Consider the following 24,430-nt stretch of genomic DNA (forward strand, 5'->3'; position numbering starts at 1 on the left):
TACATTCTTCTAAATTTTTTCAAAGTTTTCAACTTCTTTGCCTTTGGTTTGAATGTCTTCCCGTAGCTCAGAGTAATTTGATCGTCTGAAGCCTTCTTCTCTCAGCTCGTCAAAATCATTCTCCATCCAGCTTTGTTCCGTTGCTGGTGAGGAACTGTGTTCCTTTGGAGGAGGAGAGGCGCTCTGCGTTTTAGAGTTTCCAGTTTTTCTGTTCTGTTTTTTCCCCATCTTTGTGGTTTTATCTACTTTTGGTCTTTGATGATGGTGATGTACAGATGGGTTTTCGGTGTAGATGTCCTTTCTGGTTGTTAGTTTTCCTTCTAACAGACAGGACCCTCAGCTGCAGGTCTGTTGGAATACCCTGTGTGAGGTGTCAGTGTGCCCCTGCTGGGGGGTGCCTCCCAGTTAGGCTGCTCGGGGGTCAGGGGTCAGGGACCCACTTGAGGAGGCAGTCTGCCCGTTCTCAGATCTCCAGCTGCGTGCTGGGAGAACCACTGCTCTCTTCAAAGCTGTCAGACAGGGACACTTAAGTCTGCAGAGGTTACTGCTGTCTGTTTGTTTGTCTGTGCCCTGCCCCCAGAGGTGGAGCCTACAGAGGCAGGCAGGCCTCCTTGAGTTGTGGTGGGCTCCACCCAGTTCGAGCTTCCAGGCTGCTTTGTTTACCTAAGCAAGCCTGGGCAATGGCGGGCGCCCCTCCCCCAGCCTCATTGCCGCCTTGCAGTTTGATCTCAGACTGCTGTGTTAGCAATCAGCGAGATTCCGTGGGCGTAGGACCCTCTGAGCCAGGTGTGGGATATAGTCTCGTGGTGCGCCGTTTCTTAAGCCGGTCTGAAAAGCGCAATATTCAGGTGGGAGTGACCCGATTTTCCAGGTGCGTCCGTCACCCCTTTCTTTGACTCGGAAAGGGAACTCCCTGACCCCTTGCGCTTCCCAGGTGAGGCAATGCCTCGCCCTCCCATTCTCACTCTCTTTATGTAGGAAACAGATATCTACAAATACCTATCACCAACTTTGACCTCTCCCTGAGCACCGGCACATCTTTCACTGAATTATTGAGTAAGACATTGTCCTAGGAACTTGGCATATACATAACGACAAGAGCAAACAAGAGAGATGCAGACTCTCTCCCTACTGGGCTTGCAGTCTAATCGTAGACACAAAAGATTACAACACACTGTCATAAGACTATAATGGGGAAAGCTTAGGGCACTGTGGGATGGCACAGGGAGACCATCTACCTGGATTTGAGGATTAAGAACTTCCAAGGGGACATGACACAAAAGCTGAAGCCTAAAGGTGAGTACAAGTTATCTATGTGAAATGGGGAAGACGAAGTGTACTATGGCCAAGAAAACAGCCAATATGAAAGCCATGTGGTAAGAGCACGGTACCAGGAAATGAAGAAAGTGGAGGTGTGCACGTGTGGACTCCTACACATGCACACTCTGTGGGTGTCACCGCTAGGAGCCAGAACAGAAAGGAAGGATCTTATGGGCTATTATCTCTGAATTTGAGCTTTATCCTCCAAACTATGAGGAGCCCTGAGATGGTTGAAGACAGGAGAGTGACATGACCAGATGCACATTTCTGAACTATCACTATGGCAGTGGTGTGAATGAGACATTAAGCAGGGCAGCTGAGAGCTTAGGAACTTGTTAAGGTTATTCAGGCAGCAGCAGTTCAGATATAAAGAAAGCAGCAGATTCCAGAACTCTTAAGAACCATTTCCTGTGACTACTAAGTTCTTCCAGCCTGAAGGCAAATTTCATTTTTACTTTTCTTCAGAGCTCCGCAGGAAAAAGACAGGACAAGTAGAAACCAGTCCTGCACTGTTAATTGACGGTCCAGAAAAGTAGAAGCTGGAGTGACGTGCTGCCCAGAGCCATACTCAGCACATTCTCAGCTTTGGATTTAAACCGACATATGTATCTGGCACAGAGGGCCTCGTCTCAACAGTAACTTGCCTTTGCTTGCCCAGTGAACCAAAACCATATTTTTAAAACATAGCAGTGTTAAAAACCTCAAAAATAAGTAAAAAGGAGATGAGTTTTGCTACACTACCTCTCAAAAATTTTTGGTTCTCTTACCACTTTACCTGATGGAGAAATTGTCATTAGGATCTCTTCAGTGAAAGCAAAAGATAGAAGGGCTTAATTTGTTTCTTCCAAAATATCCAAGCCTTATGGTTGCATTTCCAATGAGAATAATCTAGGATGGGGCAAAGACTTCTCCAAACGCATAAGGGAAGTAACTGGCCCAGATAAGCCAATGAGAGTTCACCAAGGACAAGAAGCAGAATCAAGATGGGCTAAACAAGTCTGATCTTACAGGCACTTGTGGTGTTGAAAATAAATGGCTGGAGGCGAGGAGGGTGGAAAGATTGTTACTATTCATAGAAATTATTAAGAAAATCCAGAATTACATGGTAAACTATAAGGGCAGTAATGCTGTCATTGACCTTTTGGTTGTCTCCCCAGTATTCCATCTGCCCCTCTAACATGCAGTTTGAGAGGAGCTAACCTTGACAAGAGCTTCAGAGGTAAGTTCTCACTGGCATTAGCAAGCCAATATTATCCTATACTCTGGCCAAGTACTGTTTCAGGAAGGACACTTACCCATGGCCACTATGATTAGCTTGGGGGTAGGCACATGAACTAGGTTAACAAAACTCTCGTTTGTTAGTTGGGGCAAATATGCTGTCTCAATCTCTCTGGATATGGACCAAGAAACATGTAACTCATGGGGCTATTGGCAGTTATCTCGCAACCATCATAGACAGGAGAACCAGACTTGAGATGACACTGATGGCATGATAGGTAGAGCAAAAAAATAGAGCTACAATGACACCACTGAGCCTTGGGATTAAATCCACCCCATAGGCCATTCTACAAATAAATTTGCCGCTTACCAACATCTTCTTCATCATTGAAGCCATTTTGTATTAGGATTTCTAAGTTTAGAAACTAAATGGGCCTGAGGAACAGCCTGGCAGTTGGATGGCTAGACTTGTATAGGGTCCAGAGGGCAACCATCAATGCAGAGTGATCACTTAGGATCCAAGGGCGGTCACCCCCATATGATCTTCCTTCTGCCTGAAGAGCCCTCAGCCCTGAAAAACAGGTGGTAAGTAGCAGGGAAGGCAGACATCTAATGAATGTGGAGAGGTGGGAGTGTAAGGGACACAGTGGGCTGAAACTTCTTCCCTCACCTGAGCATGCATTAGGAAGATGAGTCTGGAAACACTGGGCTTTGTCCTGAGGGTCCAAGTGGAGCAGTATTTGAGTCATTTCTACCTCCACCCAATCCACTTTTAACTATTTCTCATATCATTTTGCAATAAGAGATTTTCATTTCTCAAGCAAAATGAGGACAGAAATAGAAGAAGTTGGAGGAGCATTTCACAAATGATTAGAAACAAAGTATGAGATGCTTTTTTTTTCCTGTTGAAGGATAAGTACAAGAGGGAATCAGATACCTGCTTCAGGTGTGCATTTAAGCCTTCATGCGTGGCCTTCAGTAGTGCCCGCACTGTGAAACTATCAGGATCTTCTTTATCTCGAATTTGAGATTCTTTTAACAGTGACTCCAGTTTTTTCCTTATGAAAGATTCCACCTGATGCTCAGTGGTCCCATTACTCTGCAAAGAATTAAGTAACACAAATGATTTCCTTAAGAAACACACCGAATTAGAATATACCCTTTGATCAAGCCACAATTGCTTCTATAATTTCACTTCTCTCAATTACTTGTAAGAAATTAAGCTCAAGTTCATTGTACCATCTCAGTCTTCCCTCCTCCACAAATCCTTTAATAATAAGGATTACTATTTATTAAGAACTAATTCTCTGCCAGCTACTCTTCATGTGACTGCATTCAGTCCTCAGGAACCTTATAAGTATTATTATCATTTCCATTTCAGTGATATAGAATCTGATGCTTAGAGAGAAATCAAGTAAGTTGTTCCTGGTTACATAGCTAGCAAATAACTGAAGCAGGATTCAAACTCAGGACTCCAAAGCCCTTCCCCCTATGCTTATGCTATTTGATGCTTTTAACAGATAAAAGGCCAGGGAAAGTTTTTGGAAACTAAGTTTTCTAAACCTACATAAATAAATTAGAACAAAAATATGCTATTAAAATAAAACTACTTTTTTCACTGAGGAGAAAAGAATGCTATGGAAATTTCAGGAGTTGAGGATTATTGTGAGATATATTTCCTTACTATTTCCAATCCCATTGTATAGTTAGGGGGAACCCCAATTATTACCTCAGCCATGATTTGTCATTACAATTACTTTAAGATCACAACAAATTTCAAGGGGTTTGGATATCAGAGCTATGACCTGTCCAGATGATGACTCACAGAATTTTGAGGTGATCATGGGATATAGATTCTCTCAAAGTCCTGCTTAGCACAGCTTTTCGGCCATTTGTTCTGCTTGAAACCAATGGCCCCAGCCTCCGTTCATAGCTCTTCTGCTCTTCCAGTGCACCTACCTCTCCCTGTTTCCAATACCTTTCCATAAATTCTTCAACCACTTGCTAAAGACCAACCCCCCAAAGGGAGGAAAGGGATACTCCTTCACAAGAGCAATTCCCACATTCTTCACGAAAAGTTTAAGGCTGTTCTTCCATTTGCAAATCTATTTCTAAGAGGTCATTATATGTGGACTCTGCATAATGGGTAGCTTTCCAATAATGCATTCATTTTCACAAAATCCTGTAAGAGCAAAGCAATTATAAATGCCCTAAGGAAAAATTTCAAAAATCTATACCAGGATAGGTTATTGAATTTCCCTGTATCACTATCACATGCATTAATATCTTTAACATGCCCAATTAATGAGGCACTCCACTTCCCTGGAGACCTCCAGGTCCAGAAGGAGATGCAAGGATGAAAAAAGAGTTGGCTCTTAACATCAGAAGGGAACACCCTCCTGTCATGCTAGAAAAGGCATGTCCCCAAATATTCTACCCTGGTCATCAGAGATGCCCACAAAAGCACAGACAACCAATACAACAGAGTTTCTGATAAGGAACACGGCATTACTACCTGAGTGACTGAGAAGGCCCCACAAAAGAGGTGGGAAGTGATTGTAACTCATTGTAACTGAGATTTCAACAGTGATGGAAAGAAGGGCTTTCCTGCCAACCACAGTTCTAGCAAAGGATTTACATGAATTAAGAATGTTCTGTAAATGCAAAGAACACATGAGTTTTCCTAGAGTTCATGGAGTAGGGTAGTGGCAGATAAAGAACTTTGGAGAGCGGAGGGACTTGAAAGCAAGAGGTATGGAGCTGCTAAGAGAGTCTTTGAGTGAACAAGTCCTTGGGTAGCAACTCTAGAAACAGTATTAATCTGGCAGCGTATGCCAAAAGAGGAAGTGTGTCTGCAGATGAAACATCAGGCACACTGGGCCCCAGTGCAGGTACTAAGTGCCTAGGCCAATGTGCTGGGGGTAGTTAATAAAGTTGAGAGATAGTTTGGGAACAAAACTCATTTTGTATTAAAAAAAAAACCATGTATTGTGTTTCTGCTGTGCCAGGTGAGAAGTATTAAAGAGGAATACCCCCCACTGTCACAGAGCCCTCAGTGTCATTGAGAAGGCCAACACATCCCTGGATAATTACACAAGCAGGAACAAGTAGAGAGGGGTAGCATATGCACACAGAGGAGGCGCAACTTGTCCAGCCTTGGGGAATCGGGGGACAATTCCAGGAGCATAAGAAACCTGAGTCAAGCCTTAAAAGATAAGTATATTAGTTTCCTGTGACTTGGCCAGGTGCCATGGCTCATGTCTGTAATCCCAGCACTTTGGGAGGCCAAACTGGGAGGATCGCTTGAGTCCAGGAGTTTGATATCAGCCTGGGCAACATAATGAGACCCTGTCTCTACAAAAATTTACAAAATTAGCTGGGCATGGTGGCATGCACCTGTAGCCCTAGCTACTTGGGAGGCTGAGGTGGAAGGATCCCATGAGCCCAAGAGTTTGAGGCTGCAGTGAGCTATGATCATGCCACATCACTCCAGCCTGAGCCACAGAGCGAAGCCCTGTCTCTAAAAAATAATAATAAAATAAAGTTTCCTGTGACCAATTTAACAAATTGCTACAAACCTGATATCTTAAAACAATAGAAATGTACTTATTTTCTCACACGTCTGGAGGCCAAAAGTATGAAGTCTAGGTGTTGGCAGGGCTACACTCCCTCTGAAAGCTCTAGGGGAGGATCCTTCCTTGCCTCTTCCAGCTTATGGTGGCCCTATGTATTCCTTGGCTTGTGGCAGCATCACTCCAATTTCTGTCTCTGTCTTTATATGGTCTTCTCATGCATGTCTCACCCATCTGTTTGTGTCTTCTCTTCTTATGAGGACATTGTCATTGGATTTAGGGCCCACGTGGTTAACCCAGGATTATATTATCTTGAAGTCCTTAACTTAATTACATCCGCAAAGACCCTTTTTCCAAATAAGCTCACATACATAAGTACCACGGATTAAGACTTGAACCTATCTTTCAGTGGCCACAAATGAACCCACTGTAATGACTAACAGCTGATCATCTGGCAAAGAGTAGGGGGACAGCATTTCAATGTGAGGAAAAGCATGGAGAAAACAAAAAGTATCAAAAGAACCAGTAATCATATGAGCAAGGAGAAATGAGCCACAGGGAAATACAGAAAAAGCAACTAAGATTGTACACAGTAGTCCCCCTTTATGCATGGGAGATACATCAAAAAATCCTCATTGGATGCTGAAAACCATGGATAGTCCTGACCCCTATGTATGCTGTGTTTTTTCCCATATAGTAATGGGTGGATACACTGGACAAAGGGATGATTCACATCCCACGTGGGGTGGAGTAGACAGTGCAAGATTTCATCACACTTCTCAGAATGGTGCACAATTCACAACTTACAAATTGTTTATTATAGAATTTTTCAATCAATATTTTGGGCCATGATTGACTGCAGGAAGCAAACCCACAAATAAGGGGGAGACTGTATTGTACTAAGGCTCCCAAAGCACTGTCATGTAAAGATACTTCATTTGAGCTGCTGAACCCTGTTTAAGGCAAACACTAGGGCTAGCCAATTTTTTCTCATAATGACACAGGCAGAAAGGTTCAGCCACTCAACCAAACACACAGGCCTATGAAAATGGCTGAATTGCAGCTTGAACCTCCTAAGACTTCCCATTCAAGACTGTGGCTATTTTTCCATACAATGCAGCAGCCATCCCTCTTATATTGTTACAGAAAAAGAGAAAAGAGAAATTCTTGAGTCAAAGTAACCATGCACAGGTTCATATTTTAAAAAGCCATTATTTCTATCATGGAACCAGGGAAATACATCATCACAATCCCTCTGGGAAAAACAATTTCACTTAAGGTCAGAAGCAAATCCAAGAAAAGAACTCCACGTCTCTAACCCCCAACGCATTTGATCAAGACCCAGGGCCCAAAGGAGTGTGCATTTGCTGCGAGGACAAAAAAAAAGAAAGCATTTAAGAGCACCTAGGGTATCCAGTATCACACAGAATGCTCCAAATGAGCATCCATTTCCTTCTCTCACTCAGGGCCTCACAAAGAGGCAGAGACTTCAAGTAAGGAGAAGATCTGTGGCCATAACACCAAGTCACTTTCACTGTCAGCAAGGAAAGGCTCAAAATACAAAGCCAGAGCCGATCCAGAGCTGGTAAAATAAAGAATGCTTAACACAAAAGCTATAATTATTCACTTCACATCCTCCAAATACTGGGAGCTGCTAAAGGAATGATATCTCTGCCTGTTGATCTTTTTCTGCTCTGTGATTTACTGCACAAGAAAATTGGCAGCTGTGAAGAACAAATAAATGTGTGGCTGAGGTTTCATTAATATATTATCATTCAGCCCTGGAATCCAATAGCACTACTGAAAGGAAGCTAAGACAGACACTTGACCTCGAGACCTATCAGGCACCATGCACCTGCAGCAGGGACCACAGCTGAAAGCCATATGTATCTTGCTCTTTTGTTCTCTGGGCCAATGGGTGAGAAAGGACGCTGCAGCTGGGGGCTGGGGGAGAGCAGTCATTTCATATGGTGGGTAGTTTCCACCAGAGAAGTAATCAGGGTTCTCAATTCCCTTTTTTGAGAGATAAATCTGATCTAGGAATCCCTCTACCACAAGTAAATAAATTAAACATATTCTCATTTTGTCTCCAGCATGAAGCTAAATCATCGCTGAATATGCAGAAGGATGCCCCAAACCACAACCATCATTCCAGACTGGGAAGATCCAGGAAAGGGGAGAAATTGGGTGCTGCTCCTTGAAAGGAACCTTCCAAACAGTGGGCTCTACCTGCACTACACATTGCAATCACCAGCAGAGTGCTCAGAAATCCCAGGCCATGCCCCAGACCCATGTATCAGAATCTCTGGGCCAAGACCCAGACACTGCGGTTTTTGAAAGCTACCCATCATTCCAATATGTGGCCAGAGTTGAGGAACTTTGCATTAAAAAAAAAAAGGCAAAAAAGTTGAGGACCTTTGCTTTAAAAAAAAAAAAAAAAAAGGCAAAAAACTAAAAACTGAAGTATTTCAACATCCCCCCAATTTTTTTTTCCTTTGGCTAAAGTCCAAAGATGGGAAGAATAATATATTGCTGCCCTTTCTGAGTGCCTTACTGCTTTCCAAGCTGTAAGACCTGAAGGTCTTGGCTGAAGAACAGCTGCTTCTCAGCCATTCAAGCCTGTGTGTTTACTCCTGTCCTCTACCATCTCCTGCCTGCTCCTTTAGCTCACTTAACAACATATTCTTCTGTTCAAGGACCAGTCATATCCATGTATTAGAAACAACTAGAATCTTCCAGGGAGATTCCAAGTCACCTTTATCATTCTCTACCCCTTGTCGCCAGGATGTACTAGCATGCCCAGCACCTGGGCTTTTTGACTCAATGAATGCTTTCAACAGCAAGACCTTGTAACCTCAAGAGGTAACTCATGCTGTCTTTGAGTGCTGGTATGTTTTAAACGAACAAGATTCATAATCCTTTTTAGGATAGCTCAAAGCATAAAAGGAATGATAGGAAAAAAGATGAGGGAGGAAAATTATTAAAGTGTTTAGTGAGAGATATACACATGCAGACTGGATAATGGTTTTAGAATATAAGACAAAAATTGCTACATGTCACTGCACCAGGACTCCTTTAGAACTTGCTGGAAGGCTTGGTGTTTATGGGATCAGCTTTACGTAGGAGATACAGAGCTAATGTTTATGCCCAAGAAGCTGGCAAAACAGATTTAGAGAGCACAAGATAAAAGACACTGCATAACTCAGCAGAAGCAGAAAAAAATTAATGAAGTTAAAATACAGAGGTGGAAAGTGTGTAGAGCACACTGACATTAGAAGACCCATAAAGATGAATAATGGTGACTTCGCCTCACAGAATCAAATCTGTTAGATTACTACTCTGTGGTTGAAAGGAACTTGTCCTCTGTGTCTCTGAGTTGTATGATTCTTGGGTCACTGAACACACTGGCTTTACCTTGTGGCTTACCCATTGTGAGCCAGATTTTCTCTATGGCTGGAGCCACAAAATAATATGTGGTAGAAGCTTAAAAGATTCAGTTAATTCAACAACAGAAGCATTTATTACATAAGAAAAAAACTTAACAGTATGGCTTAAACCGCTAGCTTAAAAGTAACAGGAGTCTTGTCCTCCTGCTCTGCATCTAACTCCAGGGTGGTGCCGGGAGAGCCTCAAATCCCGCTTCTGGCCTTTGCGCTTGGGGTTCTTTCTGCCTGGAACATTCCTCCTCAGGTATCAGCATGGCTAACTCTTCACTTCTTTCAGGCCTTTGTTCAAATGCATCTTCCCTGTGAGGCCTTTCGTTGACATCCCATCTAAAATTTCAATAGATCCCTTACATATACACATGCATAAGTGTGCACACATGCACACAGACACACACACACTTTTTTCCTTTAGCACTGATCACTGTCTAGTACACTATATATTTTACTTATTTGTCTTATTTCTTGTCTATCCTCCTCTTCTCCCATTGATGTGTAAACTTCACAAAGGCAATGATTTTTGTCTATTTTGTTACTGATATATCCTCCAATACCTACAACAATGATGAGCACATGTCCAACAGGAGATGTTTAATAAAAGTTTATTGAATGTACAAATGAATCTTACATGACCTCATGAGAGTTGGTGTTCCAGTGTAAATGAATGCAAAGTTAAAATGTGTATTTATTGCAATAATTCAGATATAAATCTAACCACATTCTCTCAACTTAAAACTGAGGTTAAGAGCTTCCTCTAAGATAATTATTGGTTCATATAAACTATCCAAAGTACACCCTCTTTTGCAGAAATATGATCAGATATTCAGTTTCTCAGGGAATTTATTATAAATTCACCAGTCAGGGCATTTGAGCCCTCTGCCAACAATAGGACTATAAATGGTCTGATTACAAGATAATACTTTGCCTTTCTAAACACGGCATTGCCTTTTCTCAGAAAAGCTCAAAAATAGCAAAAAACAATTTGAAATATTTCTCCAATGTTGATTTACTTCTTTTCTCTTCCAAAATATAACAAAGAGATGCCTATAAACATTTACAGTTAAGGTGCTCTACTTTCACTTAGGGCCAAACCAAAGAATCCAAATGAAAGATCATATCTAACTCCATGGAATCATGTTCCAAACCATCTCCTGATGTGGGTTTCCAGAAATCAACTACTCTTAGTAAAGAAAAGAGGAATCCAGTTGGATACTCCAATTTGTTCCCATAAGACTACAGCTTACTATTTTTTGCATAACTACATATATTTAACTTAGGAAGTTGGAGAGCTCACTGGCATCAGAAGAAAAATGAAATAGCTGAGTGAATAATGATAGATCTACACTATGGCTGGCAACCAAGAGATCTAGAAAACAAGATGCAAAATGATAAAAAATCAGAGACAAAAATCTGGTTTATAAAGTAATGCTAAAAAAAAAGCTAAATTATCCATAATCATAATTAATTATAAAAAATAAATACCTAGAGGAGAAAAAAGCAACTATTTAAAATATTAACTGTATAATGACACCTCAAGCATAGTTTTCAATCATGTAACTCTATTTAGATTTTCTGTAACCATAGCCCTATTAATTAATGGTATTTAATTTTGCTAACATAAACTATTAAAAGGCAAGAGAAGAATACAGATAGTAACTTTTCCTTTTCACTTCAAGCTGAATCTTCTCCATTTGGCCCATTTAAAGGGCATTAAAGCCAAGAAAGAAGTGTCTACTGAGACATCAGCTCTCATTAAGCTCTTGTCCCCTTTGAAAATAATGCCAGCTCATTTTCACAACTACAGGAAAGCCAACACAGAATTATCTGAGAGTGGACTGTTGTTAACAATGTAATAACTGAATTCAGGGCAATGGTGTAAATTACAAGAATTTATACAAAATTTCTCTCTCTTTTTTTTTTTTTTTTTTAGAGGGTAGAATCATAGTCCTGATGTCTAGAGGACTAACCTTTTCTGTAGAAATAAAATTCTATACCAAACTATCATCCCTGTGTGCTCCTCTCAGGTTGCTGTGTTACTCTAGCAATCACATGAGTTATAGAGTTACAGAAAGAAGCGATGAGGCATCTTTTTAAGTCTTATATTTCCCTCAGGTTTGTATTTCCCTTGGATCACCTGGCTAAATGATGCTTTTCTTTTTTTGCGGGGGGGGTGGGGTGTGGGGTTGGAGGTGGGGACGGAGTCTCGCTCTGTCGCCCAGGCTGGAGTTCAGTGGCGCGATCTCGGCTCACTGCAAGCTCCGCCTCCCAGGTTCACGCCATTTTCCCGCCTCAGCCTCCGGAGTAGCTAGGACTACAGGCGCCCACCACCACGCCCGGCTAATTTTTTTTGTATTTTTAGTAGAGACGGGGTTTCACCATGTTAGCCAGGATGGTCTCGATCTCCTGACCTCGTGATCTGCCCGCCTCGGCCTCCCAAAGTGCTGGGATTACAGGCGTGAGCCACCGCGCCAGGCCTAAATGATGCTTTTCTACAAAGGAGGCTCCTTCATCTAGAAAAGGGGGCTGACACACCAAGTGAGTAACAAACTATTCCATGCCACTTTATTGAAGACTTGACAAATTAAAGATTTAGCCAAGAGGTCCATGTCTGGAAGGGCTTGGAAATCCCTCTGGTCCAAGGTACATTTTCTTAAAGAGGGCATGGGCATCCCAGAGAAGCAGGTCCACGTGCAGGTGGGGTTCCTCCAGCCAGCCTTGACAGGGAGCATGGGGGGCTGCTAGCACGAGGTAGGGAAGGCAATGCTAAAAGTAAAGCCAGCTTTTATTATCAAAGACAGTAACATTTCCAACTACAATTTGATTTTTGAATTTGTAATAGGAAATTTATCCCTGGAGAGAGGGTTGAATGAATTAATCACTAAAATTCCTTCCAACACTCAGACACAAGAATCCTTGACTCATTCATTCAACAAACATTTGAATGTCTATGTGCCAGCAAATAAAGTAATTTTCAATGAATATCCTTTCTACACCACAGCCACCATAATTGTGAGGCCTCCAACACAGTAGCAACTTGGAACTCCATTTTAATACAGCATATCAAGGATAAAAAATATGGTCATGCCTGCAACTTACATAATGGAGCTTGAATTTGCACTCGTCTTCAATTTCATCTGCACTGTCCTCATCAGAAACTTCCCCTTCCTCTGCATCATCCCCAAGGTGATAAGGCAACTTCTTACCCTGAAATGGAACAAAACATCCCATTTAAAAATGAGAATAAATTCACAATAGCCAAAAGGTGGAAGTAACCCAAGCATCCATTGATGGATGAGAGGATAAACAAAACGTGTATGTACATACAATGGAATCTTAGCCTTTAAGAAGAAGGAAATTCTGATACATATTACAAAATGAAGGAACCTTGAAGGTATTATGCTGATTGAAATAAGCTAGACATAAAAGAAAGTGTATTGTATGATTCCATTTATATCAAATTCATAGAGACAGAAAGTAAAATGGTGATGGCAAAGGGCTGAAGGTAGGAGGGTATCGGGAGTTGTTGCTGAATGGGTATAGAGTTTCAGTTTTACAAGATGAAGAGTTTTGGAGATTGGCTGCACACAATGGGAATGTATTTAATACTACTGAACACACTTTAAAAAGGGTTTATTGTATACATTTAAAAATAGTTAAGATGTTAGGTAGATTTTAGGTCACATGTATTTTACTACAATTAAAAATCATTTTTGAAAAGTAAAAACTGAAAATAAAATGTTGTATCATTAAGCTAATCATTACTTCAGACTGACTAGAAAGCAGACAGTCTGAATTAGGGGCAAAATAAGGGGGAGTGGAGACTTTCAAAAAAGGGAAGTCTTATTACTTTCAATTAAGTAGAATTAATTAGAGATACTATAGTTTGAAAAATCAAACCAGGCTTCTATTCAAAAATAGATGACTTGGAACCTGGAGCCAGGCCCAGTGGCTCACACCTGTAATCCCAGCACTTTGGGAGGCTGAGATGGGAAGATCACTTGACCCTAGGATTTCAAGACCAGCCTAGGCAAAAAAATAAGCCTCTGTCTCTACAAAAAATAAAAAAATTTGCTAGGCATGGTAGCATGTGCCTATGATCCCAGCTACACAGGAGGTTGAGGCAGGAGGATGACTTGAGTCCAGGAGGTTGAGGCTGCAGTGAATCATGTTTGTACCACTGCACTCCAGCCTGGGTGACAAAGTGAGAATCCCCCTCCACCAAAAAACAAGATGACTTGGCTGGGCACAAAAGCTCATCCCTGTAATCCCAACACTCCAGGAGGCCAAGGCAGGAGGATTGCTTGAGGCTAAGAGTTTGAGAACAGCCTGGGCAACATAGTAAGACCCCATTTCTATTTTTATTAAAAAGTGAAAGAATAGATGACTCTTCACAACAAACTACCATTCCATCCCATTATGTACAACTGCTATGGTGTGAATGCTGGTGTCCCCCAAAATCCATGTATTAGAACCTAATACCTCACCCATATGATAGTATTAAGAGGTGAGGCATTTGGGAAGTGATTAAGTCATGAGGGCTCCAACGAGCTCCCTTGCCCCTTCTGTCACGTGAGGACAAATAGTAGGTACTATCTATGAGAAACAGGCCCTCACCAGACGCCAAATCTGCCATCACCTTAATCTTGGACTTCCCAGCATCTAGATCCACGAGCAATGAATTCTGTTGTTTACAAGTTGCCCAGTCCAAGGTGGTTTTGTTATAGCAGCTCAAAGGAACTAAGACAACAACAAGCATGCTAATATCCCTCAGAGCAGCTTATTCACCTAAGCAGGTTACATGTGTCCTTAACACTTATGCCTCACTTTGCATTTCACAAGCCCCTCTTTCACAGACAATGCAGCGAGACTCCTGCCCAGCTTGAGCACCTCCCCCAGGACCAGGCCACTCTTGACTTACCTAACAACACACTTTAAAAATGAGGGGCTTTTTGACAGGGAACATTCTTATAAGATATTAAGACAGTTAAGTTATAGAATTATATATATAATATTATCTCAGTGATTAAAAAACAGCAAAAAAGTCTAAAAATAAATATGGTCAATTGTTAAGGGTAATTATCTCTTTATAACAGTACTATGAGGGAAATTTACATTCTCCTTTCCTGCATTTCCCAAATTATATTCAAAAACAGTAAATGTAAACTAAAAAGGACAGCAGGGGGTAAGGCCCAGGGGTCTGAGAAAGGCTTCGAGGGCAGCTATCTGTATTAGCAAGGCTTTTTACTACAGGCAGAAAGGAATATTTATTACCAAAATATTGAATTGCTTCCAGAATCAGAGGGTGGGAGGTGGAACAAAACCAGGCTCTGAGGCTAAGAGGCCAAGGCGACTGCAGTAGGCAGCCTCTAAATAATAGTACCAATGTCTCCTGTCTCAGTATTCACACCCTTCTGCAATCCCCTCCCTTTGAGCGTGGCCTGGACCTAGTGCCCGACATCTAATGAACTGAGTACAGCAAAAGTGATGGGAGGTTACTTATCAGATCAGGTTATAGAAACACTATACCTTCTTGCTTGCTTGCTTCTCCAAACTTCTCTCCTTTCCTGGAGCTCTCTCTCTCTCTCTCTCTTCTTTCTCTCTCTCTCTTTCTCTCTCTCTCTTCTGTCTCTCTCTCTCTCTCTTTTTCTCTCTCTCTTCTCTCTTTCTCTCTTCTTTCTCTCTCTCTCATACACACACACACACACACACACACACACACACACACACACACTGGTGTCGTGAGCTGTGCTATGGAGAGACCCACATGGCAGGGAGGTGAGAGAGGCCTCAGTAGCCAACAGCCTGAAAGGAACTGAAATGTGCCAACAACAACCACTAAAGGAATCTCGGAAGCAGAGCTTCCCTCAGTTCAGCTGTGAGATGACTGCAGCCCCAGAGGACACCTTAATTACAGCCTCAAGAGAGACCCTGAGCAGAGGACCCAGCTAAGCCACACCCAGGTTCCTGACCTACAGGGACTGTGGAATATTCAATGTTTGTTTTAAGCTGTCAAATGTTGGGGTAATTTGCTATGCAGCAATAGATACCTAACGTAAGCACCAACCAAAATCATGGGGCAGAACAAATCCACTGAAGATACCATTTCCAACACAACTAAGCACAGAGATAGTGGCTTTCACTCCATCATCCACGCAATGGACATCAGGAACTACTGCCAGAAGTGCTGTCATGGGCCCTAAAGGTAGCTGCCAGCATGTCCACCCTACTCCCTCCACCCACCAGGATGGGTTCAACTTGGTCCCACTTTCCTACTGTAGTTTCTGCTTCAATGTCTGGGACAGGTTCACTTGATTGGTGGCTTCTAGATGGGGGGCCCATATCCCAGTTCTAAGAAAGGCTGCAAAAGCAAACTTTGAGCTCCTCTAAGGGGATCTCTTAAAACATAGGGATGGAGACTTCCTTAAACATGGAAGGATGTTCACATGCCTGACAGCCAAAATAATGATAAATTTCTAAATATCATCCCAGGCTGATCTCTAAACTCAAGCTTCAATGACTTTAAGTATTCCTGCTCTGCACAGCACTATTACCCCTTTCAGAATTCTGGATCCCCCCTTACCCGCTTCCTCCCTCCATAGGGCTACCAGCTTAGTCATATTTTCGGAGAAATGTCTTTCTCAGTTTTCCTACACCTTCCTTGATACCCAAAGCTCTTGACCTTGAGTCCTTATCACTAGTGACAATTTCAAAGCTGGGTAAATCATTTATATAATGAAAGCATAATCTACATTAAGAATCTAAACAATTGGGATTTAGGCAAATATTTTCTTCAACTTACAGAAGGGAATTTGTAAGATTAAAAAGTTGGGGCCAGCTGGGCATGGTGGCTCACACCTGTAACCCCAGCCCTTTGGGAGGCCGAGGGAGATTGGTGGATCACCTGAGGTCACGAGTTCAAGGCCAGCCTGGGCAACATGGTGAAACCCCGTCTCTACTAAAAATACAAAAATTAGCCAGGCGTGGTGGTAAGCACTTGTAATCCCAGCTACTCGGGAGGCTGAGGCAGGAGAATCGCTTGAACCTGGGAGGCAGAAGTTGCAGTGAGCCAAGATCGTCCCACTGCACTCCAGCCTGGGTGACAGAGTGACACTCCGTTTCAAAAAAAAAAAAAAAATGTTGGGGCCAGGCACAGTGGCTCCTGCCTGTAATCCCAGAACTTTGGGAGGCCAAGGAGGACAGATCACCTGACATCAGGAGTTCAAGACCAGTCTGGGCAACATGGTGAAACCTCATCTGTACTAAAAATACAAAAATTAGCCAGGCATGGTGGCAGGCACCTGTAATCCCAGCTATTCAGGAGGCTGAGGCAGGAGAATTGCTTGAACCCAGGAGGCGGAGGTTGCAGTGAGTTGAGGTTGCACCATTGTACTCCAGCCTGGGCGACAGAGCGAGACTCCGTCTCCCCACCAAAAAAAAAAAAAAAAAAAAGTTGGGATCTAATTTGTGTATCATTAATAACAAGGCAGCTCAGAATCAAAGCATTTATTTCTGTATATTATTTTAGGTCCTATTGATATAGAAAGCTCCTAAAAATCAGTTTTTCTATTTTTCTTTATTTTAGGAACATTTGTAGAGTAGTTATAATATGGCAGCACCAGAAATAAGGTACTCAATTAAGAGGTGATCAGACATACTCAGAAACAAGCTATCAAGATATCAACTTTCTTCACTTATTCAGAATCTGCTTTGTTTTAGGTACCATGGCAGACAGCAAGATGAAACTGTACACAAGACATTTAAAATGTAGTGATAGCAATTCCCTCTTTTGAAACAGCATAAAATAGAATAAAAACCAACATATGTTTTTAAATGTTCTACAGAATAGAAATAAATATGAAAAATAACATCACCAAGAAAAGAATAATAATAATCCTCAACTGATATGCATCACTGATACCACTGACTAGAAAGGAAAGTGTAACTGTGATGAGCAGGTGGTGCTGAGCAGGTAAGGACACAGAACTAAGCTTCAATTCCCCTTCATCTGAGGGTGGCATGAGGTGAGGGAACAAAAAGAAGAAGCTGCCTCTCAGAGTATTCATAAGACAGGTTAATTTTCAGTCCTTTAAAAATCTAATTAAAAGACCTGGCATTATCAGAGCCCTATTTTTGGTCAGCTTTTTCCAGGCTGGCAAATATTTTATACAGGCAGATAGGGAGAAAAACAATGCAAATGAACACTGTTTTTCAAGGCCTCTTTTCAATGGTGTTACTCCAAAGGAAAATTATAAAATAAATTTAGATAGCACTTTATATGGCTAACTAATTTAACTGTGGTCCAATGTTGATGTAAATGAAGAATGATCCAGGTGTCTTCCAGAGGTCCCTTTCTGATCTACATATATTTCATGCAGAAGTTACACTCTAGAATTAATTTGTCTATGGTATATGGAAATATTGCTAGAGACTGGACTGGAAGCATGGTCACTTCTCAGCTTCAAGATATCTGGCTGCACAGCCCCAGGAGAATGCAAACAACTCCGCGATTCACATCTGTAAAAGCAGGAACCTTGAACCACACAGCTAAAGTTATTTCAGCAAAAAGAGTCTATCGAAAATTACTATTTGTTTTTTTTTTTCATAAGCAACGTTTTATTTACAGGCATACCTTAGAATTATTATGAGTGTGGTTTCAGATCACTGCAATAAAATGAATATCACAATAAAGAGAGGCACACGGATTTTTTGGTCTCCCAGTGAATATAAAAGTTACAATTGTGCTATACTGTAGCCTATTAAGTGTGCAATAGTATTACGTCTAAAAAAAGTACATACGTTAATTTAAAATATTTAATGCTATAAAAAGCTAATGATCATCTGAACCTTTGGCAAATTGTAATCATTTTGCTGGCGGAGGGTCTTGTTTCGATGTGGATAGCTGCTGACTGATCAGGGTGGTGGTTGCTGAAGGTTAGGTGACTGTGGCAATTTGCTTCTTTTTTGTTTTGTTTTGTTTTGTTTTGAGATGCAGTTTTGCTCTTGTTGCCCAGGCTGGAGTGCAATGGCACGACCTCGGCTCACTGCAACCTCCGCCCCCCGGGTTCAAGCGATTCTCCTGCCTCAGCCTCCCAAGTAGCTGGGATTACAGGCATGCACCACCATGCCCAGCTAATTTTGTATTTTTTAGTAGAGATGGGGTTTTACCATGTTGGTCAGGCTGGTCTTGAACTCCTGACCTCAAGTGATCCACCCGCCTTGGCCTCCCAAGGCATTAGCCACCACACCTGGCCAGCAATTTCTTAAATAGGACAAAAACTAAGTTTGCTCCATTGATTGACTCTTCCTTTCACAAAAGATTTCTCTGCAGCATGTGATGCTGTTTAACAGCATTTTACCTACAGTAGAACTTCTGGCAAAATTGGAGTAAATGCTCTCAATCCTTCCTAATGCTTTATCAACTAAGGTTTTGTACACCTCAAGAACCCACTTGCTTTGCTTATTCATATAAGTAATTCCTCATCTATTTAAGTTTAATCATGAGATTGCAGCAATCTTCAGGCTCCACTTCTTTTTTTTTTTTTTGAGATGGAGTCTCGCTCTGTCGCCCAGGCTGGAGTGCAGTGGTGCGATCTGCAAGCTCCGCCTCCCGGGTTCACACCATTCTCCTGCCTCAGCCTCCTGAGTAGCTGGGACTACAGGTGCCTGCCACCACACCTGGCTAATTTTTTTGTATTTTTAGTAGAGACGGGGTTTCACTGTGTTAGCCAGGCTGGTCTCCATCTCCTGACCTCATGATCTGCCCACCTCGGTCTCCCACAGGCTCCACTTCTAGTTCTCTTGTTATTTCTAACACATCTACAGTGACTTTCTCCACTGAAGTCTTGAACCCCTCAACGTCATCCATCAGGATTGGAATCATCTTCTTCTAAACTCCTGCTAATAATCTGTTGACCTCCTCAAAAAAAATCGCAAATGTTCTTAATGGCATTTAGAATGGTGAATCCTTTCTAGAAGGTTTTCAATTTAGTTTACCCAGACTTATCAAAGGAATCACTATTTATGGCAGTTATAGGCTTACAAAGTATATTTCTTAAATAATAAGACTTGAAAGTCAAAATTATACATAGAACAACGAGCTACAGAATAGATGTTGTGTAGCAGGCATGAAAACAACATTAATCTACTTATACATCTCATTAGAGTTCTTGGGTGACCAGGTGCATTGTCAATGAGCAGTAATATTTTGAAAGGAATCTTTTTTCCTGAGCAGTAGGTCTCAATAGTGGGCTTAAAATATTCAGTAAACCATGCTGTAAAAATATGTGCTGTCATCAGGCTTTGTTATTCCATTTACACAGTGCAGGCAGAGTAGATTTAGCATAATTCTTAAGAGCCTAGGGGATGAAAAATGAGCACTGGCTTCAACTTAAAGTCATTAGCTGCATTAGTCTCTAACAAGAGACTCAGCCTGTTCTTGACGCTTTGAAGGCAGGCAATGACTCCTCTGCAGCTATTAAAGTCCCAGATGGCATCATCTCCCAATATAAGGCTGTTTTGTTTACATTGAAAATCTGTTGTTTAGGCTGGGCACAGTGGCTCACGCCTGTAATCCCAGCACTTTGGGAGGCCAAGGCAGGCAAATCACCTGAGGCCAGGAGTTCGAGACCAGCCTGGCCAACATGATGAAACCCCATGTCTACTAAAAATACAAAAATTAGCTGGGCGTGGTGGCACGTGCCTGTAATCCCAGCTACTTGGGAAGCTGAGGCAGGAGAATCACTTGAACCCAGGAGGTAGAAGTTGTAGTGACCCAAGATGGCGCCACTGCACTCCAACCTGGGTGACAGAGTGATACTCCATCTCCAAAACCAAAAAGAAATCTGTTGTTTAGTGTAGCCACCTTCATCAATTATCTTAGCTAAACCTTCTAGATCCCTTGCTGCAGCTTCTCCACCAACACTTGCTGCTTCACCTTGCACTTTTATGTTATGGAGATGGATTCTTGCCTTAAACTTCATATACCAAACTCTGCTAGCTCCAGACTTTTCTTCTGCAGCTTCCTCACCTCTCTCAGCCTTCACAAAATTTAAGAGAGTTGCTCTGGATTGGGCTTTGGCTTAACGGAATGTTGTAGCTGGTTTGATCATTTATCCAGACCACTCAAACTTTCTCTCTATCAGCAATAAGTTAAGGCTATTTTGCTTTCCTATCATTGTGTGTTTACTGAAGTAGCACTTTTAATTTTCTTCAAGAATTTTTCTTTTGCATTCACAAAATGGCTAACTCTTGGGCACAAGAGGCCCAGCTTTCAGCCTGTCTTGTCTTTTAACACATCTTCCTCACTAAGCTTAATCATTTGTAGTTTTTGATTGAAAGTGAGAGAAATGTGGAGATGCCAGAGGAAAATGGCATCCAGGAGGCAGGACTAACTTGCAGCTCCCACTCGGACAATGGAAGAGCATGTGAAGACTCGCATCGTGAACTTGTGCTACAAGAACTACTGCAGGAACATACCAGGAAAACCAAAAGAATTCACAGACCCTTTGAAGGAAGCAGACTGCTGTTCCAAGCTCTGTGAGACAGCTGAAAAACTGTGAGTGGCCAAAGTGTGAGGAGGGAAGATCCACCCTCGAAAACACATCCTCACTGGGGAATCTGAAATTCTAGATCACAGGTGATATGGTTTGGCTGTGTCCCCACCCAAATCTCATCTTGAACTGTAATCCCCATAATACCCACGTGACTAGGGAGAAATCTGGGGGGAGGTGATTGGACTATGGGGGCAGATACCCCATGCTGTTTTTGTGATAGTGAATGAGTTCTCACAGGATCTGATGACTTTATAAAGGGCTCTTCCCACTTCACACTCACTCTTCTCTCTCCTGCCATCTTCTGAAGAAGGTGACTGTTTCCTCTTCACCTTCTGCCATGATTGTAAGTTTCATGAAGCCTCCTAGCCATGCTTCCTGCTAAGCCTGAGAAACTGTGAGTCAATTAAACCTCTTTCCTCTATAATTACCCAGTCTCAGGTATTTCTTTATAGCAGTGTGAAAACTGACTAATACAGTAGATTGGTACTGCAGAGAGTCGGGTACTGCTATACAGATACTTGAAACTGTGGAATTGACTTTGGAACTAGGTAACAGACAGAGGTTGGAACAGTTTGGAGGGCTCAGAAGAAGATAGGAAGATATGGGAAGGTTTGGGGCTTCCTAGAACTTGTTGAATGGTTTTGACCAAAATGCTGATGGTGATGTGAACAAAGAAGTCCAGGTTGAGGTGGTCTCAGATGGAGATGAGGAACTTTTTGGGAACTGGAGCAAAGATCAGTCTTGCTATGCTTTAGCAAAGAGACTGGTGGCATTTTGCCCCTGCCCTAGAGATCTGTGCAACTTTCAACTTGAGAGAGATGATCTGAAATTGGAACTTATGTTTAAAAGGGAAGCAGAGCATAAAAGTTTGGAAAATTTGCAGCCTGATGATGTGATAGAAAAGAAAAATCCAGCTGGGCATGGTGGCTCATGCCTGTAATCCCAGCACTTTGGGAGGCCAAGGCAGGTGGGTCACCTGGGGTCAGGAGTTTGAGACCAGCCTGACCAACATGGTGAAACCCCGTTTCTACTAAAAGTACAAAATTAGCCAGGCATGGTGGCACATGCCTGTAATCCCAGCTACTTGGGAGGCTGAGGCAGGAGAATTGCTTGAACTCAGGAGGCGGAGGTTGCAGTAAGCTGAGATCATGCCACTGCATTCCAGCCTGGGCAACAAGAGTGAAACTCCATCTCAAAATAAAAAAGAAAGAAAAGAAAAACCCATTTTCTGGGGAGAAATTCAAGCTAGCTGCAGAAATTTGCATAAGTAAAATGGAGCTGAATGTTAGTCACCAAGACAATGGGGAAAATGTCTACAGGACATGTCAGTAACCTTCATGGCAGCCCCTCCCATCACAGACCCAGAGGCCTAGGTAGAAAAAATGCTTTCATGGGCCAAGCCCAGGGCCCTGCTACTGCTCTGTGCAGCCTTGGGACTTGGTACTCTACAACCTAGCCATGGCTAAAAGGGGCCAACATTCAGCTCAGGCCATTGCTTCAGAGGGTGTAAGCTCCAAGCCTTGGAAGTTTCCACATGGTGTTGAGCCTGCAGGTGCACAGAAGTCAAGAACTGAGGTTTGGGAACCTCTGCCTAGATTTCAAAGGATGTATGGAAACACCTGGATGCCTAGGCAGAAGTATGCTACAGGGGTGGAGCCCTCAAGGCAGTATGGAAGAGAAATGTGGAGTTGGAGGCCCCATACAAAATCCCCACTGGACCACTGTGTAGTAAAGCTGTGAAAAGAGGGCCACCGTCCTCCAGACCCCAGAATGATAGATCCACTGACAGCTTGCACTGTGTGCCTGGAAAGGATGAAGACACTCAATGCCAGCCTGTGAAAGCAGCTGGGAGGGGTGTTGTACCCTGCAAAGCCACAGGAGTGGAGCCACCCAAGACCATAGGAGCTCACCTCTTGCATCAGCATGACCTGGATCTGAGACATAGAATCAAAGGAGATTATATTGGAGCTTTAAGATTTAATGAGTGCCCTGTTGGATTTTGGACTTGCATGGAGCCTGTATCTCCTTTGTTTTGGCCGATGTCTCCTTTTTGGAATGGGAGCATTTATCCAATGCCTGTACCCCCATTGGATCTTTGAAGTAACGAACTTGCTTTTGATTTTACAGGCTCCTAGGCAGAAGGGACTTCCCTCGTCTCAGATGAGACTTTGGACTTGGACTTTTGGGTTAAGCCTGGAAAGAGTTAAGACTTTGGGGGACTGTTGGAAAGACATGACTGTGTTTTGAAATGTGAGGACATGAGATGTGGGAGCAGCCAGGAGCAGAATGATATGGTTTGGCTGTGTTCCCACCCAAATATCATCTTGAATCATAATCCTCATAATACCCACATTTCTTGGGAGAGACCTGGTGGGAGGTAATTGGATCATGGGGGCAGTTTCCCCATGCTGTTCTCATGATAGTGAGTTCTTATGAGATCTGATGGTTTTATAACAGGCTCTTCTCCCTTCACTGTTCACCCTTCTCTCTCCTGCCACCTTGTGAAGAAGGTGCCTGCTTCCTTTTTGCCCTCTGCCATGATTGTAAGTTTCATGAGGCTTCCTAGACATGCTTCCTGTTAAGCCTGTGAAACTGTGAGTCAATTAAACCTCTTTTTATAATTTCTCTGTGTCAGGTATTTCTTTATAGCAGTATGACAACAGACTAATAAAATGAGAGAAGGATTTGGCCTTACCAAGAGCTGAAACAAATTTAGAGAGCTGAGCAAAATATAAAGGTAGAAGAAACAGCAGGAAGAGCCCTGTGGGCACACCCAGTACCCAGGGAAACCACTTCTGACTGTCTCACAGGGGCCTTTGGGGAGGCTACCAGTAGAACTGGGGAAAGAATACAGGGAGAAGGAAACTTTGAGATGAACTTTGTAATAATTACAACCAAGCGTAAACATTTATGGGCAGAATCTGGGGGCAGTGACGGGAGCAAACAGGAAGTGCAGATAGGAGCACAGAGGCCATGGCAGGTGGGGAGAGGTGGGGCCTGAAAGGCCAGCTTGCTTTCTCAGTGGGGAGGCTTGTAGCCTGGGGCAAGATCTCAGCCCTACTCATGAGCTGCCTGGATATAAACTCGGTGCTGGTGGTGGGAATGAGACTGGCCTTGCTGGCTGAGTGGGAACTAGGTGAGGCCTGTCACTGCCAGCTTTCCCCACTTCCCTGGTGACCTGTATGATGCAGCAGAGGCAGCCATAATCCCCCTGGGAACATAACTCCATTGGACTGAGAACCACACTCCCAGCCCCTACAGCAGCGACAGCAAACCCTGCTCAAGAAGAGTCTGAGCTTAGACACGCCTGACCCTGCATCCAACT

At 42.7% G+C, this 24,430-nt stretch overlaps 1 protein-coding gene and 1 long non-coding RNA gene across 22 annotated transcripts in view, besides 1 other annotated feature; one reads left to right on the plus strand and one right to left on the minus strand.

Annotated features, from left to right (window-relative positions):
- PLCH1 (phospholipase C eta 1) overlaps positions 1–24,430 on the minus strand; it is a 294,138-nt gene that overhangs the window by 60,314 nt on the left and 209,394 nt on the right. For all 20 annotated transcript variants that reach the window (XM_017005927.2, XM_047447747.1, XM_047447746.1 and 17 more), the window contains 2 exons: positions 12,650–12,757; positions 3,476–3,637 (listed from right to left, as the gene is read on the minus strand). In XM_017005927.2, the coding sequence (XP_016861416.1) occupies positions 3,476–3,637; positions 12,650–12,757 (270 nt within the window). The remainder of the gene's footprint in view (positions 1–3,475; positions 3,638–12,649; positions 12,758–24,430) is intronic.
- Positions 883–1,539: an enhancer, noted in NCBI's record as "H3K27ac-H3K4me1 hESC enhancer chr3:155229919-155230575 (GRCh37/hg19 assembly coordinates)". NCBI's record gives its function as "activates a minimal SCP1, AML or CMV promoter by ChIP-STARR-seq in naive H9 embryonic stem cells {active_cell/tissue: H9 hESC(naive)}" and the evidence as "EXISTENCE:reporter gene assay evidence [ECO:0000049][PMID:30033119]".
- LOC124906297 (uncharacterized) lies at positions 940–8,379 on the plus strand. Of its 2 annotated transcripts, none has more exons than XR_007096137.1 (3): positions 940–1,296; positions 2,478–2,539; positions 8,204–8,379. It is a non-coding gene; the product is annotated as an uncharacterized LOC124906297 (long non-coding RNA). The 2 variants fall into 2 exon arrangements; XR_007096138.1 differs by lacking the exon at positions 8,204–8,379 and adding an exon at positions 5,547–5,763.

Source organism: Homo sapiens, chromosome 3, assembly GCF_000001405.40.
Source record: "Homo sapiens chromosome 3, GRCh38.p14 Primary Assembly".
NCBI classification, from domain to species: Eukaryota; Metazoa; Chordata; class Mammalia; order Primates; family Hominidae; genus Homo; species Homo sapiens.